This window comes from Homo sapiens, chromosome 16, assembly GCF_000001405.40.
Source record: "Homo sapiens chromosome 16, GRCh38.p14 Primary Assembly".
Taxonomy (NCBI): domain Eukaryota; kingdom Metazoa; phylum Chordata; class Mammalia; order Primates; family Hominidae; genus Homo; species Homo sapiens.
The window spans coordinates 10,769,572-10,788,217 of record NC_000016.10 but is presented as its reverse complement, the minus strand read 5'-3'; the positions used below and the strand labels follow the sequence as shown (position 1 = coordinate 10,788,217).

The following is an 18,646-nucleotide window of genomic DNA, read 5'->3' as shown; positions in this document are numbered from 1 at the left end:
CTTTAGATAATAACTCAACCAATTGCCAATCAGAAAATCTTTGAATTTACCTATGACCCAGAAGCGCCCTCCCTGTTTGAGTTGTTTTGCCTTTCCAGACCAAACCAGTGTACATCTTGCATGTATTGATTGATGCCTTTGTCTCCCTAAAATGTATGAAGCCAGGTTGTAGCCCGACAACCTTGGGCACATGTTCTCAGGACCCCATGGGGCTGTGTCATGGGTCACGGTTCTCATATTTGGCTCAGGATTAATCTCTTTAAATATTTTACAGAGTTTGACTCTATTAGTTGAAAGCCTCCGGCATCTGACGCAAATGTTACTGTCTCATTTTATGGATGGATAATGTGAGGCTCAAAGTGAAGCGGCATTGTTGTCTGGGGTAAATACCCTGGGTTTGTCATCTCATGCCAAGAAGATCACGGACACTGACACATATGAGGAGTGAATTTAGGAGGGGAGGTTTAATAGGCAAAAGAAAGAGAGAGGAGAACAGCTCTCTCTCCTGTGAGAGAGAGGGGCTTCTGAAAGGGAAAAAAACCAGCCCACTGCAGACTGCACCAGATTTTATAGACAGGCTTAAGGAGGCAGTGTCTGATTTACATAGAGCCCACAGATTGGTTGGACCGGGGTGACATTCACATAGCGCTCACGGAAGGCTGCCCCCCCAACCCTAATCTTATTATGCAAATGAGCTTTCCACTTGGCTGGTGCCATGTTGCCTGCCCCATGTTGCCTGCCCCTTACTGTACACGTGACTGGAAAGGAGAAGGGAAGATGGAGCCGCCATTTTGAACATACCTAGTCCCAGGTAGCCTTTTCCTATTGGCACAGCTGTTGGCCTTCACCTGTGCAAGCTTCCAGCTTGCTTGTCTGCAGCTGGATTTTACAGGCTGCTCTTTATTGGGAAAGAAAATAATTTTGGGGCTGCTTTTCATTAAAAGGAAAACCTTACAGAGGACTCTCATATCCTCACTATCTGCCTAAATAATTTCTTCTTAACTCCTATATCAAAAAGGGTTTAGTACTTTGTCCAGGACTGCATACCCAGCAAGCATGGAGCAGGAGCGTGGGGCTGGACCCTCTGGCTTTCCCTGCACCACGCTGGCCAGGTGCAGGGAGGGTTGGGCATTTGTACTTCAGAGAGGGGTGGCCTCTTTTTTTGTAGAGGAACTGGTAAGCCCAGAAGAAAGGACCTGCTTTCTGGAATTTTCTTCATGTATCCAGCTGTAACAGTCCATTACTCAATGGGGGATTTTTAGGTCTAAATTTTTTTTTTTTTTGGACCACAGCTGGGCCATCTAGGTACCCAGAATATCAGCCCATGAGCTTGGTTTATCCCAAAAGGCATCTGGCCTCAATGCAAAGTCAGGGCTGCTTCTGCCGATTTCTTTCTTCTTCTACTTTTAAATTCAAATTTACGTAAAAGTATAGAGAACAATGAACCTGACGTTCCCAATGCCCATCCCCAGTCATCACCAGGTTCCCAATGCCCATCCCCAGTCATCACCAGGATGTGGCCCGTTTCATCTTCACCCCCTCCCATCCCCGCACACTCAGGTTATTTTTAAGCAAATTCTAGACATCATCACAGAGCAAAGCAAACCAAGAAGGGAAGAGAATGCCTTTCTTCAGGCCTGCCATACTGAGAAGCAGGAAGGTTTCCAGAGTGTCTGAAAGAGGACACAGAATTTAAAATGTGATGTTTCATGAGGAATTCTAGTTGGAGATGGGCTTAAAAAAAGGAGTACAGTTTTCAAAGTAAAGGGTATTTTTTTTTTTGACAAGTTCTCCCTCTGTCCCCAGGCTGGAGTGCAGTGGTGTGATCATAGCTCAGTGCAGCCTCAAACTCCTGGCCTCAAGTGATCCTCCTGACTCAGCCTCCCAAAGTGCTGAGATTACAGGCCTAAGCCACTGCACCTGGCCACAGGACAACTTTTAAAGACATTGTTAGATCACTGCCGAATTTAGGATGAACTCACCTTCCCCTGTGGATGAAAAATAAATCTTGGGGCCCCCATATCACTAAGCTAAAGGGAAAAGTCAAACTGGGAAATGCTTAAGGCCAACCTGCCTCCCATTCTATTCAAAGTCACTCCCCTGCTCACTGAGATAAATGCATATCTGATTGCCTCCTTTGGAGACACTCATCAGAAACTTAAAAGAACACAACCATTTGTCTCTAATCTACCTATGACCTGGAAGACCCCTCCCAGCTAATTGTTTGTATTTTTAGTAGAGACGGGGTTTCATCATGTTGGTCAGGCTGGTCTCTGTTGGGGACCAGCCTCAACACCACCTGTAGGGTACCCAAAGTCCGGTGGTGACAAAGGAATGAGAAGAGACAGGTTAAGAGTTCATAAAGGTGGGAGCCAGGGGGCCAGAGCAAATCAGAGGCTGCAAAGGGCTCAGAGTTCTGGTCTCCACACTATTTATTGAGTACAATCACATAGATCTGAGAAGCAGATGCCTGGAAAGGTGTTCCGCCTTTCCAGACCCAACCAATGTTCATCTTACATAAGTTGATTGTTGTCTCCTGTCTCCCTGAAATGTACAAAACCAAGCTGTGCTCTGATCACCTTGGACACATGTTGTCAGGATCTCCTGAGTGTGTTCTCAACCTTGGGAAAATAACTTTCTAAAATAACTGAGACCTGTCTCAGATATTCAGGGTTTACACCCCCAAATCAGACCTGCTTTAGAAGTTGTGGGACAGTGATGTTTGTGCCTCCTCCCAGTTTCTCTGTGTACTCTTAGACAGAGCTTCATACCTATGTCCACCCACTTTTATAAATTCTGGCTCTTTTTTTTTTTGAGATGGAGTCTTGCTCTGTCACCCAGGCTGGAGTGCAGTGGTGCGATCTCTGCTCACTGCAACCTCCACCTCCCCAGTTCAAGCGATTCTCGTGCCTCAGCCTCCTGAGTAGCTGGGATTACAGGCTTCCGCCACCAAACCTGGCTAATTTTTGTATTTTTAATAGAGGCAGGTTTCACCATGTTGGCCAGGCTGGTCGTGAGCTCCTGACCTCAGGTGATCCACCCGCCTTGGCCTCCCAAAGTGCTGGGATTATAGGCGTGAGCCACCATGCCCGGCCTGGCTCTATTTTTTTTTTTTTTTTTTGAGACGGAGTCTCGCTTTGTCACCCAGGCTGGAGTGTAGTGTTGTGATCTCAGCACACTGCAACCACCGCCTCCCGGATTCAAGGGATTCTCCTGCCTCAGTTTCCCAGGTAGCTGGGATTACAGGCGCCCGCCACCACATTCAGCTACTTTTTGTATTTTAGAGATGGGGTTTCACCATGTTGGTCAGGCTGGTCTTGAATTCCTGACCTCAGGTGATCCACTTGTCTCGGCCTCCCAAAGTGCTGGGATTATAGGTGTGAGCCACCACACCTGGACCTGGCTCTGTTTTTAGAGCAGTTTCAGTTTTGTAGCAAAGTTTGAGGAGAAAGTTCATATAATTTTTATATACTCCCCTTCTCCCCCAATTTCTCCATTTTAAACATCTTGCATTAGTGTGGTATATGTGTTACACTTGATGAACCAATACATTATTATTAACTAAAATCCATAGTTTATATCAGGGTTTACTCTTGATGTTGTACATTTTATGAGGTTTTTTTTTCTTTCTTTCTTCTTTATTTATTTATTTTTTTTGAGACAAGGTCTTGCTCTGTTGCCCAGGCTGGAATGCATTGGTGTGATCTCGGATCACTGCAACCTCTGCCTTCCAGGCTCAAGCCATCCTCCCACCTTAGCACTCCAAGTAGCTGAGACTGTAGGCGTGTGCCACCATGCCTGGCTAATTTTCTTTCTTTTTTTTTTTTTCTTTTTTTGGTAGAGATTGGGTTTTACCATGTTGCCCAGGTTGATATTTTTTCTTTTTTTTGAGACAGAGTCTTGCTCTGTCGCCTAGGTGGGAGTGCAGTGGTGAGATCTCGGCTCACTGCAACCTCCGCCTCCTGGGTTCAGGCAATTCTCCTTCCTCATCCTCCCTAGTAGCTGGGATTACAGGTGTGCACCACCTGGCTAATGTTTGTATTTTTAGTAGAGACAGGGTTTCACCATGTTGGCCAGGCTGGTCTTGAACTCCTGGGCTCAAGCTATCTGCCCCCTAGGCCTCCCAAAGTGCTGGGATTGTAGGCAGGCATGAGCCACCACGCCTAGCCCATTCTATGAGTTTTGGCAAATGTGTAATGTCAAAAGTCCTCCATCACAACATCATACAGAGTAGTTTCCCAGCTCTAAAAGTCCCCTCTGCTCCACCTATGCATCCCTCCCCACCCTCTGGAACTCCTGGCAACCACTGATCTTTTTACTGTCTCTAGAGTGTTGCCTTTTCCAGAACGTTGTATAGTGGAAGTTGTCCATACACAGCCTTTTCAGATTAACCTCTTTCACTAAGCAATACACATTTAAGGTTCCTCTATGCCTTTTTGAGGTCTGATAGCTCATTTCTTTTTAGCGCTGAATAACATTCTGTTGTCTGGATGTACCATGGTTTATCCATTCTGCTATTGAAGGACATCTTATTTGTTTTTTGAGACAGAGTCTCACTCTGTCACCCAGGCTGGAGTGCAGTGGTGCGATCTTGGCTCACTGCAACCTCCGCTTCTTGGGTTCAAGTGATTCTCATGCCTCAGCCTCTCCGGCAGCTGGGACTACAGGTACGCGCCACCACGCCCGGCTAAATTTTGTATTTTTAGTAGAGATGGATTTTTGCCATGTTGGCCAGGCTGGTCTCGAACTCTTGGTCTCAAGTGATCTGCCCACCTCAGCCTCCCAAAATGCTGCGATTACAGGTATGAGCCACCACACCTGGCCAATTGAAGGACATCTTAGTTGCTTCTGAGTTTTGGCAATTATGAATGAAGCTGCTATAAATATTTGTGTGTTGCTTTTTGTGCAGACGTAAGTTTTCAGCTCACTTCGGTAAACCCTGGGGATTGTGGTTGCTGGATTGTATCACATGTAAAATGTTCAGAGTGACTTGCAAAGGTTGGCTTTGGTCAGCGGCTTCCAACAGGAGATTCGTATGGTTCACTGAATTTTTACACACATGTAGTCATTAGATAAAGATACAGAACATCCCAGCATCCAGAAGTCTCCCTCATATCCCTTCCCAATCACTACCCCCTCACCCACTCCAAGAAAGAACACAACCCCTTGGGATTGTGCCAGTCAGGCAGCAACCACCCAACAGCTTTTGAAAGTAGATTTTTTTGGAGTGTGGGTTTGGGGAGCAGGTAGGGGCAGTTTGCTTCATTTTGGGTTGTTTTGAAGGGAGCCTAATGTCATCACCAAGTTGTTCTTGCTGGTCTGGAGCAGGGGTTGGCACACTCTCTGGGTATTTTGGGCTTGGTAGTCCAGCGAATGAGTGGGTGTGACTGTGTTCCAGTAAAACTTGATTTACAGGCTGGGCGCAGTGGCTCACACCTGTAATTGTAGCACTTTGAGAGGCTAAGATGGGAGGACAGCTTGAGCCCAGGAATTTGAGACCAGCCTGGGCAAAATAGTGAGATCCCATCTCTACAAAAAATTTTAAAAATTAGCCAGGTGTGGTGGTGTCTGCCTGTATTCACAGCTACTTGGAAGGCTGACATGGGAGGAGTGCTTGAGCCTGGGAGGTCGAGGCTGCAGTGAGCCTTGATCACACCACTGCACTCCAGCCTGGGAGACAGAGTGAGACCCTGTCTTAAAAACAAACAAAACAAACAAAAACGAAAACAAAACCAACAAAACTTCATGACACAGGTGAGCAGCAACTACCTGGGGCTGGTGGCACAGGTTTAAGAAGAATTTACCAAGACAGTTATAGGTAAAGACAGGCAAGTGTGGAAGTACATTTCAAAGGAGCAAGGGGCAGGCCAGCAAGAGAGGAGCTGACTGCCAGGAAACAAAGGCTTGCTGGGGATTTTCTGGGATAGTGCTTGTGCTGTGTGCTGAAGAGGGCTTTGGGAAGTACTGATAATGCCAAGGTTGCAGTGAGTTCACTTGTGATTTTTGTATCAGCTGAGGGTCTGATGACAGCTGAGTGTGGGAAGGTTGTGTTATTTGGCCAGGTACGGTAGCTCACACCTATAATCCTGGCACTTTGGGAGACTGAGGCAGGTGGATCACCTGAGGTCAGGAGTTCGAGACCAGCCCGGCCAACATGGTAAAACCCTGTCTCTACTGAAAATACAAAAATTAGCCAGGTGTGGTGGCAGGCACCTGCAATCCCAGCTACTCAGGAGGTTGAGGCAGGATAATTGCTTGAACCCGGGAGGCGGAGGCTGCAGTGAGCCGAGATCATATCACTGCACTCCAGCCTGGGCAACAGAGTGAGACTCTGTCTCAAAAAAAAAAAAAAAAAAAAAAAAAAAAAGATTGTGTTAGTTGTGAAGGAGGGCTGCGTGTTCTGGACCGTGAACAGAGGGAGATTTATAGCTTATCTGCCTTTTCTTTTTGTTTTCCCTCATTTCTGCCAACCTGACTCTCCCTAATTAAGACTCCACACTTCATTTACAAAAGCAGGCCATGGCCAGATTTGGCCCTTAGGTTGTAGTTTGCTGAACCCGGGTAGAGCTGTGCTTTTTCTTTGTGAAATTCATGTGTCCAGGTCCCACCTGAAATCTGAATCCTTGTATCCTGTGCACAACGTGAGACCTCCTCAGGTGGCTTTCACACACATTCCAGGTTGAGAATCTACTGTGCTTCCCTCCGGGGAGGAAGACAATGGGTGACAAGGGCCCAGAGCTGCATAAGTGGATCTAGAAAGAGAGGAAAGTTGAACAGAAGCCCCCATCAGGACTCTCCCTGCCTTGACAACACTTTACTTGAGTAATCCCTTTCCCCCTTTCATCACTGTGTCATTTTCTCACCTCTTCTTTTTTCTTTTTTTTTTTTTGAGATGGAGTCTCACTCTGTCACCCAGGCTGGAGTGCAGTGATGTGATCTTGGCTCACTGCAACCTCCACCTCCCAGGTTCAAGCGATCCTCCTGTCTCAGCCTCCTGAGCAGCTGGGACTACAGGCATCTGCCACCATCCCAGGCTAATTTTTGTATTTTTAGTAGAGATGGGGGTTCTTCATGTTGTCCAGGCTGGTCTTGAACTCCTGACCTCAAGTAATCTGCCCACCTCTGCCTCCCAAAGTGCTGGGATTATAGGCGTTAGCACCGAGTCTCCTCTTCTTGAAACAATGGGTTTCTATGTGGCTGGGGTTGGGGATGTTGGATACTGTGTGGAAATAGCACCTGTTCAAGTTGAACATGATGAAGGTTCATCTGGGGGAATGTGAGGGGCCCAGGAGTCTTGGGAGATCCCTGCAAAGACAAAAGGTAGTCCCCTCAGGAGTGAGAGAAAGTTGTGGTCAGAGGGGGAATTTCACAGTTTGGCTCTTGGTGGTGGAACCGTTGTTTCGAATGACACGGAGGACTGAGATGGTAATGGCTGTCACCTGTTTTTGAGCATGGTGTGTGTTTCAGGCACTTTTATGTACCACCCTCACCCGATGTTTTCAGTGTCTTAGGAAGTGGATCCTGTTGGCATTCCCATTTTGCAGAAGAGGAGATGGAGGGATCACAGAGTTAAGTAGCTTAGGGAAGACCACAGAGCTACTCAGAGATTAGAGCCAGGATTGGAATGCTGGTGGTCTAGCGCCCAAGCCCATGGGTGGCAGGCCAGTTCTCACTAACATAGGCCTCCATAACAGCTGTCTCAGCACTGAATGAGTGGTGAAGTTAAATATTAAAAGCTGAGAGAGCCAGTGCCCTTATACAAAGGCTGGAATGTGACAAAAGCCCACCTAGAGTTGTGCCCAGGTCTTTCCTGGTCCTTGAAGTATGACAAGATAACAAAGGACCCATTTAGGATGAAATAAGTTTATTGGGAGGTCCAAAGAAACTCCCCAGGCCTCCACAAACAAGTTTATTAGGGGTCTGAAGAGACTCCCCAAACCTCCATCATTTAGCAGGAGACAAGATAAGGGTAATCACCCCAGCACCTGGACCCATTTAGATTAAGTAAATTTACTGAGGCTCCAGAGGAAGGTCTTCAGGACTCAGATATTAGTTATAGATTAAAAGAAGTTAATCTTTATTTTATTTTATTCATTCATTCATTCATTCATTCATTCATTCATTCATTTTGAGATGGAGTCTCACTCTGTCGCCCAGGCTGGAGTCCAGTGGCACGATCTTGGCTCACTGCAAACTTTGCCTCCTGGGTTCAAGCAATTCCCCTGCCTCAGCCTCCCGAGTAGCTGGAATTATAGGCGTGCACCACCACACCCGCTAATTTTTGTATTTTTATTAGAGCCGGAGTTTTGCCATGTTGGCCAGGCTGGTCTCGAACTCCTGAGCTCAAGTGATCTGCCTGCCTCAGCTTCCCAAAGGGCTGGGGATTACAGGCGTGAGCCACCGCCCCCGGCCAATCACTTATTTTAGATGAATGCAAACTTATCCATGACATATAGCTCAGAAGGTATATAAGCTCTGGAAAACTTGGTAATTTTAAGTTGGCCTGGCGATATTTTCTAGGTCTTCTCCCTGTAACTGGCTACAGAAATAAAAACTTCCTCTCCCAGTTCATCTGCATCTCGTTTTTGGGCCACAAGAATATGCCGCCTGATTCTCAGTTGGTCCGGGAACACACGCAGCTGGTGCCATGCCCCTGTGCTGTTTGCCTCTCAAGGGGCAACCTCCCAGGTTGGTGCCTGGGAGGGCGGAGTTAGAGAGCAATGGCACTGGGAACTGGAGGTGATTGGTGGTGTGTGTGTGTGTGCTCCATGTTGCTGGGGAGCAGGAGGATGGAGGACCCGATGGCAGAGACGAGTGGACAGGACTTAAGCCATGACTCTCAAAACTCTGGAAAACTGGTCTGAGATCACACAGTATTAGCTAGAGGCACAGGCTGGGCAAACTCCAGATAGGGACTGAATGAGGACTTGGAGGATGCTGATGGAGCAACCTGCATAAAATAGGATTAAAGCAACATTTAAAAGGGCAACAGGCGTCCTCTTCTACTTGCTTTGGGCTTTGAACTCTGTTTGAGTAACACCACTTTCCATTGAGTTAATCAGGGCCCAGCTAAGTGGAAGCTATCAACAACTGGAAATTTTTCTGCATTTTATTTTAGGAGAGCCACAGCCAAAAAGAAAAAAGAAAGAAGCGGGTGGGCAAGGGATTTATTCGAATGCATTTACTTCCACATTTTACCATGGGTCAGCGCACACTTGGCTCACACTTTGACATTTTTTTGAGATCTGTATGTTTTGTTGTTTTGAGATGGAGTCTTGCTCCGTAGTGCAGTGGTGCAATCTCAGCTCACTGCAACCTCTGCCTCCCAGGTTCAAGCAATTCTCCTGCCTCAGCCTCCCAAGTAGCTGGGATTACAGGCGCCTGCCATCAGGCCTGGCTAATTTTTGTAGTTTTAGTAGAGATAGGGTTTCACCATGTTGGCCAGGCTGGTCTCGAACTCCTGACTTCAAGTGATCCAGCCGCCTCAGCCTCCCAAAGTGCTGGGATTATAGGCATGGGCCACCGCGCCCGACCCTCTATCTTTTTTTTTTTTTTTACATTTGTATTGTTCTACAAAGAGGACAGATGTTTCCAGTGATTCTAACTGACTCGATTACAAGGTTCAACATAACAAATATGTTTGCGGAGAATCTTAAATACTGGGTGCTTTTGGGGATATAAAAATGTGTTAAACATGGTCTGTGCCCTCAAAGAACTTTCAGTTATTGAAAGAGCATTTATTTATCTCCAGGGGCAAGGGACAAAATTTTATTCAGTTAGGAAATTCTCAATTAGGTTTACAGCAAAAAGAGACACCCAAGAGTCTTATCTTCTGGAACACTCCAGGAAGTTTTTAAGTTCTATGTGATCCTGTCTAATTCTTCGAGACAGCGATTTGCTCTGTTGCCCAAGCTGGAGTGCAGTGGCATCATCTCGACTCACTGCAACCTCCACCTCCCAGGTTCAAGCGATTCTCCTGCCTCAGCCTCCTGAGTAGCTGGGATTACAGGCACCTGCCACCACAACTGGCTAATTTTTGTATTTTTAGTAGAGACGGAGTTTTACCATGTTGGCCACGCTGGTCTTGAATTCCTGACTTCAACTGATCTGCCTGCCTCGGCCTCCCAAAGAGCTAGGATTACAGGTGTGAGCCACCACACCTGGTGATCCTGTCTAATTCTTCTTTTATTTTTATTTTTATTTTTTTTGAGACGGAGTCTCGCTCTGTCACCAGGCTGGAGTGCAGTAGTACGATCTCAACTCACTGCAACCTCCGCCTCCCAGATTCAAGCAATTCTCCTGCCTCAGCGTCCCGAGTAGCTGGGACTACAGGCGCCCACCACCACGCTCAGCTAATTTTTGTATTTTTAGTAGAGACGGGGTTTCACCATGTTGGCCAGGGATGGTCTCAGTCTCTTGACCTCGTGATCCACCTGCCTCAGCCTCCCAAAGTGCTGGGATTACAGGCGTGAGCCACCACGCCCGGCTTGATCCTGTCTAATTCTTAAAAGCCGGGTGCACTTCCTGGGTTGGTTTTCATTCAGGTCACCAGGAGAGCCAAGAGCCTGAGAGGCTCAGATGAGACCCATCCTGGTGAATAGTTGGTGCTTTGCTACGCAAAAAAGTCACTGTGAAGTCTGCTTCTGAATCTTAACATTCCCCTGGGAGTCGGAAGCCCCACAGTTGTAGAGGCACCTGTGGTTTGTTGACTCGGACTCCGTTTCTTCTTGGGGAGAATGAGCAGGCGCTTTCCCCTGCAGTTCTGTGTGGATCTCTGTGACCACCCCATTCGGCCCCGCATTTTCCAAAGCCCACAACATTTTGTAACCTAATCCAGAGGTTGCAAGCTCACTGCTCGCAGGCCAGTGAGAAACACAGACTGATATTTCAGTAAAAGAATTAGTGGCCATCATTTAAAATCAGATTTCCCATTGCAAGTCTGGATTTCTGACTTCTCATGAAAATCTTGGCTCTGGCAGTACTGGGTCTGGTTTGCACAGCTGCCTGGTGCTGGGAAGAGTCCCTTTCATCCCTCCCTTTTCCTCCCCTGCCCTGAGGTGCGGGTTTCATTCTCATCCATCACTGTGTCAGAGGCGTGTGAACCAGAGCAACTCCATCTTGAATAGGGGCTGGGTAAAACGAGGCTGAGACCTACTGGGCTGCATTCCTGGACGGTTAAGGCATTCTAAGTCACAGGATGAGATAGGAGGTCGCACAGGATACAGGTCATAAAGACCTTGCTGATAAAACAGGTTGCAGTAAAAAAGCCGGCTAAAACCCACCAAAACCAAGATGGCCATGAGAGTGACCTCTGGTCGTCCCCACTGCTACACTCCCACCAGCACCATGACAGTTCACAGATGTCATGGCAACGTCTGGAAGTTGCCCTATATGGTCGAAAAAGGGGAGGCATGAATAATCCACCCCTTCTTTAGCATATCATCAAGAAATAGCCATAAAAATGGGCAACCAGCAGCCCTTAGGACTGCTCTATCTATAGACTAGCCATTCTTTATTCCTTTACTTTCCAAATAAACTTGCTTTCACTTTACTCAATGGACTTGCCCTGAATTCTTTCTTGGGTGAGATCCAAGAACCCTCTCTTGGGGTCTGGATCTGAAACCCTTTCTGGTATAACAACTGGGCTCGTGCCATTGATTTCCTGATCATAGTTGAGTATCGTTCTCTACCTGTGTGCTCTATTTAAACTGGGAAACCACAGAAAGAAACAGAAACCCACAAGTGTCTTCAGTCTGGCCCACATCACCCACTGCCATCACCTGCTCTATACAATTTGGTAACCTTTCTTTTCTTGTTTTTATTTTTTTATTTTTTTATTTTTTGAGTTGGAGTCTGACTTTCTCACCCAGGCTGCAGTGCAGTGGCGTGATCTTGGCTCACTGCAACCTCCGCCTCCCAGGTTCTAGTGATTCTCCTGCCTCAGCCTTCCGAGTAGCTGGGGTTACAGGCAGCCGCCACCATGCCCAGCTAATTTTTGTATTTTGAGTAGAAATGGGGTTTCACCATGTTGGCCAGGCTGGTCTTGAACTCCTGACCTCAGGTGATCCGCCCGCCTCGGCCTCCCAATGTGCTGGCATTACAGGTGTGAGCCACCGTGCCTGGCCTATATCAGACTTACATTAAAAAATAATAATAATAAAAAAAATAAGGCCAGGCGTGGTTGCTTATGCCTGTAATCCCAGCACTTTGGGAAGCCAAAGTGGACAGATCACCTGAGGTCAGGAGTTCGAAACCAGCCTGGCCAACATGTTGAAATCCTGTTTCTACTCAAAGTACAAAAATTAGCTGGGCGTGGTGGCAGGCGCCTATAATCTCAGCTACTTGGGAGGCTGAGGCAGGAGAATTGCTTGAACCCGGGAGGTGGAGGTTGCTGTGAACCGAGATCACGCCACTGCACTCCAGCCTAGGGGACAGAGCAAGACTCCATCTCAAAAAAAAAAAAAAAAAAAAAAGAAAAGCAATTTACACAGGATGAGCATGTTCCCCTTGGCTCCCTCTCTTCTTTCTGGCCAGGTTTGTGTCTAAAGGCACAGTGAACAAGAACCACCTTCCCCTAGATTAAATGCCAGGATTCACGTGCCATTCACCACTGAGCAAGTATGATGAGTTAGACCTGCCATTCACAGGTCACATGTTTCCCTCTGTCCAGGAACACGCATTCCCCGATGACATGAGACACCTGCCCCGTGGGCTGCGTGTGAGCTTGGAGCTCAGTGACTGGTGGTGGAAAAACCCAACCTTTACCTTTAGGGAACTGGCCGTCATCTCTGCTAGGCGGGAAGGCAGTGACTGCTGTCACGTTTCACTTCAAAGATGACCGTGTTTCGAAGAGGGCAAGTGATATTTGGAGTCAAGTGGCGGGAAAGTACTGGATTCTTCGAAGGGGAGGAAAAAAAACAGTGTCAGCATGACTGTCTGGGGACTGCTGACCTAATGATGTGTCCCCAGGGCTACAGCCTGAGTTTCTGCGTCATATGCACCGGGGAGAACATTCCATTGAGCCACGCTAACACCCCCAGCAAAGTCTGAAGTGGTAAAGGGAGTTCAGTGACCATCCGCTTAGCTCTTGGAGTGAGGGCGCCTTCTGGGTCCTTTCCTAGACACCCCTTGGCCACCTTTTTCCACCTGTTTTTCCGAGTGAGTGCCATCGTCACCTACGTGAGCTGCGACTGGTTCAGCAAGAGCTTTGTGGGCTGTTTTGTCATGGTGCTGCTCCTCCTGTCCCTGGACTTCTGGTCTGTGAAGGTGAGGCCCTTTCGTGTGATGTCATCACTTCCGAAACACGAGGCTTGTCCCCTGTGTGCGTGGTACCAAGAGGTACTTTGGTTTAGACTCCTGAGACATGCTTAAGAGTGCTGAGCAGTGTCACTTAAAAGTAAGGGGAATGGAGAAACCCCGTCTCTACTAAAAATACAAAAATTAGCCTGGCGCGGTGGTGTGTGCCTGTAATCCCAGCTACTTGGGAGGCTGAGGCAGAAGAATCACTTGAACCCGGGAGGCGGAGGTTGCAGTGAGCCGAGGTTGTGCCATTGCACTCCAGCCTGGGTGACAAGAGTCAAACTCTGTCTCGGAAAAAAAAAAAAAAAAAAAGAGAGAGAATGAGAGCCAAGTGAGAGGGGTTTCCCTTATAAAAACCATCAGATCTCGTGGCACTTATTCACTACCATGAGAACAGTGTGGGGGAAACTGCCTGTATGATTCAATTATCTCCCACCCGGTCTCCCCCACAACACGTGGGAATTATGGAAGCGACAATTCAAGATGAGGTTTGGGTGGGGAGACAGCCAAACCATATCACTTGTATACGAATTAATACATATATTTAAAACATATATAATATGAACATATAAATTATATATGTTTTGTGGGGGGAGTGTGTAACTTTTTAAAGTAAGCTTAGTTGAAAACTAGAAGTCTTGACATCTGAGAATCCACTACAATTCAAGGCCTTTTTTCTTCCTGCTCCCAGTACAAGTCTGAAATGAATCAAGGAACTTTTGTTTATCAATACAGTGAATAAGCCTCTTTGCCTGTGACCTGCTCAGAGTCCTTTGTCTATTGTTCTCAGAATGTAACCGGAAGACTCCTGGTGGGCCTTCGATGGTGGAACCAGATAGATGAAGATGGGAAGAGCCACTGGATCTTTGAAGCCAGGAAGGTATTCTCCATGACGAGCTGAACTAACCAGAGCGGGGATAATGGGTGTGGAAAGTTTCTGTGGGTTCCTTTGGAGTTTTGTGCATATCTGATTCCTGCCTTACACAAAAGCCACCATTGCCAAGGTGCTCTGGTGAAACATGGGTGTGGCAAAAGTGTCTCCAAAATAGACCGGGCGTGGTGGCTCACGCCTGCAATCCCAGCACTTTGGGAGGCGGAGGTGGGTGGATCACTTGAGGTTAGGAGTTTGAGACTAGCCTGGGCAACATGGTGAAACCCTGTCTCTACTAAAAATACAAAAATTAGCTGGGCGTGGTGGCAGGCACCTGTATTCCCAGCTACTCGGGAGGCTGAGGCAGGAGAATCACTTGAACCCAGGAGGCGGAGGTTCCAGTGAGCCAAGATCACGCCACTGCACTCCAGCCTGGGTGACACAATGAGACTTTGTCTCAAAAACAAAACAAAACAAAACAACACCAACAACAAAAAATCCCACAGCAACAAAAGCATCTGCAAAATAAAATAAATGAAAATGTGAGCACGCTCGTTTGCAACCATTTCCACTTGTTTTGACATTTGAATTACTTTCCTTTAACAGGTCTCTCCGAATAGCATTGCTGCCACAGAAGCTGAAGCACGAATCTTCTGGCTGGGCCTCATAATCTGCCCCATGATATGGATTGTGTTTTTTTTTAGCACCTTATTTTCCTTGAAGCTAAAGTGGCTGGTAAGGCCAGATCTTGACTTCCACATTGCTTTGATGTCTCTGCAAAAAAAGTGTTTGCACCACTAGGCTTTTGTTGTTATTTGTTATTGATTGATTGATCAATTATAACAAGTTTATTGAGATATAATACACATTCCATACAATTTACCCATTTAAAGTATACAATTAGGGGCTTGGCATGGTGGCTTACGCCTATAATCCCAGGCCTTTGGGAGGCCAAGGTGGAAGGATTGCTTGAGCTCAGGAGTTCGAGACCAGCCTGGGCAACATAGCAAAACCCCATCTCTGCAAAAAATGCAAAAATTAGCCAGGCATGATGGTGTGCACGCTTGAGCCCGGGAAGCAAAGGTTGCAGTGAGCCAAGATTGTGCCACTGCACTCCAGCCTGGGTGCTAGAGTGAGACCTTGTCTCCAAAAAATAAAATAAATACTAAGTGTGGAATTCAGTGGCTTCTAGTGCAGTCACAGAGTTGTACAGCCAAAACCACCATCAATGTTAGGAAATTTTCATCACCGGAAGAAGCCTTGCGCCCTTTTGACATTGCTTCCCTGTGCTTCTGTTCCTCCAAGCCCTGGCACCTATTAATTTTTCTGTTTCTGTGGATTTGCCTATTCTGGGCATTTCATATAAATGGACTCACACAGGCTGGCACAGTACCTCACATCTGTAATCCCAGCACTTTGGGAGGCTGTGGCAGGTGAATCACCTGAGGTCAGGAGTTTGAGACCAGCCTGGCCAACATGGCAAAACCCTGTCTGTACTATAGATACCAAAATTAGCTGGGCGTAGTGGCACACGCCTGTAATCTCAGCTACTTGGGAGGCTGAGGCAGGAGAATCGCTTGAACCCAGGAGGCGGAGGTTGCAGTGAGCCAAGATCGTGCCACAGCACTTCAGCCTGGGTGACAGAGTGAGGCTCCGTCTTAAAAAAAATCAATAAATAGAGAAAACAAAATATTTGTAGATAGTAAAACAACAGTGTCATTTAATGAAAGTGCGGGCCCTGGAATTTGGATCCCGGCTCGACCACGCTCCAGCTCTGTGACCTTGGGCAGCTTTCGTCTTCCTGAGCCTCAGTTTCCTCTTTGTAAAATGGGATGATGATGGTGGCAACCTCTCCAGTTGTAATGATTCTGAGGTGTCCGTGGGTATTTGCAAATGCTCAGTAAATGTTGGCTGTTACTATTCTTAGGTGCAGGCTAGAGCATTTCTACGTGGCTTGAGAGGTGCATTTCTGTAAATGCTCTTAGAAAGTGACCTTTGCGTCAGATGGAGACCATCCTGGCTAACATGGTGAAACAGTGTCTCTACTAAAAATACAAAAAAATTAGCCAGGCCTGGTGGCGGACGCCTGTAGTCCCAGCTACTCGGGAGGCTGAGGCAGGAGAATGGTGTGAACCCGGGAGGCGGAACTTGCAGTGAGCTGAGATCGTGCCTCTGCACCCCAGCCTGGGCGACAGAGCGAAACTCTGTCTCAAAAAAAAGTGACCTTTGCTTTCTTTGTCTGAGTGCAGGCTCTGGTGGTTGCTGGGATCTCTCTCCAAGCTGCAAACCTGTATGGCTACATCCTTTGTAAGATGGGAGGCAACAGTGACATTGGCAAGGTCACAGCCAGTTTCCTGTCCCAGACAGTGTTCCAGACGGTGAGTAACTGAGGTCTGACTCTTGGACCACTCCTCTCCAGGTAGTCAAAGTCAAGGTGGCCTGCTGGCAACTGCGGTTTGTAATGTAACATATCCGCCAGGCTGCCAATGTTTTATTGTTTATATATTTTTTGGGAGACAGGATCTCGCTCTGTCACCCAGGCTAGAGTGCAATGGTGTGATCGCGGCCTATTGCAACCTCCATCTCTTGGGCTCAAGCGATCCTCCCACCTCAGCCTCTGGCACAGTTGGGACTACAGGTGTGTACCACCATGCCTGGCCTTTTTTTTTTGTAGAGACGAAGTTTTGCCATGTTGCCCAGGCTGCTCTAGAACTCCTGAGCTCAAGCAGCCCGCCTGCCTTGGCCTCCCAAAGTGCTGGGATTACAGCCATGAGTGAGCCACTGTGCCTGGCAGTTTTGTTTTTTAATTGTAAGATTTACATAAAATGTACCATTGTAACCATTTTAAAATGTATAGTTCTGTGGCATTAAGTATAACCACTTTATTGTGCAACCTTCACCCCACCCAGCTCCAGAACTGCTTTCATCTTGCAAAACTTAAGCTCAGTACCCACAAAACACTAACTCCCCCTCCTCCTCGCCTCCTAGCCCTAGCAACCAGCATTCTGCTTTCTGTATCTATTGGTTTGACAGCCCTAGGGACCTCCTATAAGTGCAATTATAGTTTTTGTCCTTTTGTGACTGCCATTGTTAGTTTTCAGTGATTTTTAAAAGTATAGAATTAAGGAAAGAGTCACAAACGGTTTTTCAATTTTTTTTTTTTTTTTTTTTTTTTTTTTGAGATGGGAGTCTCACTCTGCTCCCAGGCTGGAGTGCAATGGCATGTGTTGGCTCACTGCAACCTCCGGCTCCGGGTTCAAGTGATTCTCCTGCCTCAGCCTCCCAAGTAGCTGGGATTACAGGTGCATAACACCATGCCTGGCTAATTTTTGTATTTATAGTAGACGGGGTCTCTCCATGTTGACCAGGCTGGTCTCGAACTCCTTGCCTCAAGTGATCTACCAGCCTTGGCCTCCCAAAGTGCTAGGATTACAGGCGGGAGCTACCGTGCCCAGCTTGTTTTTGTTTTGTTTTTTTTTTTTAACTTAATAGATATTTCTAAAAGTGAGAGACAGAAGTCTTTGAAATTTGACCAGGTTCATCCTGAAATGGGTAGAACCGTCCTAAATTTGAACAGCACTGCTTTATGCCAAGACATCAAGCAACCAATTCCGCAGGTTTTCTGTACTTTGTGGGTTTTCTCTGGCCTTCCATCAGCAGGATCGCCCCACTCGCGTGTAAGGACAGAAAACCATGGTTGACTTTTCCCCTTGCAGGCCTGCCCAGGTGACTTTCAGAAGCCTGGCCTCGAGGGGCTGGAGATTCACCAGCATTAGGTGAGAAATGGATCATGGCACCCGTGTGGAGGAACTGGGGAATTCTGAAAAATGCAGCTCTTGGGGCACAGGGGCCCGGGGTCTGGGTGGGCTTCCCCTGTTCCCTGGGGTGGCCAGGCATGTGACCAGGCAGGAAGCAGACTGGGCAATGGGCCTGCCCTGGGCTTTGCAGCCTCATTGCTCTTGGCGTGAGGAGCTGGGGGTCGGGGGGCGAGGTCACACCTTCCTCACACTGAACATGTGCAAATCTGATCATATGTATGGTCCTAGGGAAGGGCGGGGAGGGAAGAGACAAGGGAGGGAAAGAACAAGGGGATTTGTTCTTGTTTCCCACCCACCCACTTTTATGCCCCAGAGTGGAGGGAAAACAGGAATTTACTCTTCTCCCACGTGGTCTCAGATCCTGTGTGTCTCAAACAGAGCAAGCACCTCATGGCAAAGAGGATGATCGTAGAGTTTACATCTGTCCCTCTTTTTTATATAATTAAAAAACCTGAAAGTTGGTTTGCATGACACTGGACATTACTGGATATACTGTGCACATATTACTACACAGGGAATTTACACAGACCCCACATTCTGTCTTACTGGGTGATTCAAGGACTCTTCAAGGGCTTTTTGATTTGACCCAGCTGTGTCATATGCAGTGATTTTAGAACGAAGCCCAGCCTGAGCTCTGTTGCTTTTAGATTTTTCCTCA

General features: G+C 47.2%; 1 protein-coding gene across 14 annotated transcripts in view; it reads left to right on the top strand.

Moving 5' to 3' along the window:
- The window catches only part of TVP23A (trans-golgi network vesicle protein 23 homolog A), a 61,477-nt gene that overhangs the window by 30,577 nt on the left and 12,254 nt on the right, over positions 1 to 18,646 (top strand). For 8 of the 14 annotated variants that reach the window (NR_134903.2, NR_134902.2, NR_134901.2 and 5 more), the window contains 5 exons: positions 13,122 to 13,266; positions 14,090 to 14,179; positions 14,777 to 14,905; positions 16,420 to 16,548; positions 17,887 to 17,946. Coding sequence is in view for 5 of the 14 variants with exons in the window: in XM_047434604.1 (XP_047290560.1) it covers positions 13,122 to 13,266; positions 14,090 to 14,179; positions 14,777 to 14,905; positions 16,420 to 16,548; positions 17,887 to 17,946 (553 nt within the window). In the remaining 9 variants the exon portion in view is untranslated. Of the gene's footprint in view, positions 1 to 12,670; positions 13,267 to 14,089; positions 14,180 to 14,776; positions 14,906 to 16,419; positions 16,549 to 17,886; positions 17,947 to 18,301; positions 18,450 to 18,646 lie in introns of those variants that run through there. The other 6 variants (NR_134905.2, NR_134906.2, NR_134904.2 and 3 more) reach the window with 4 other exon arrangements.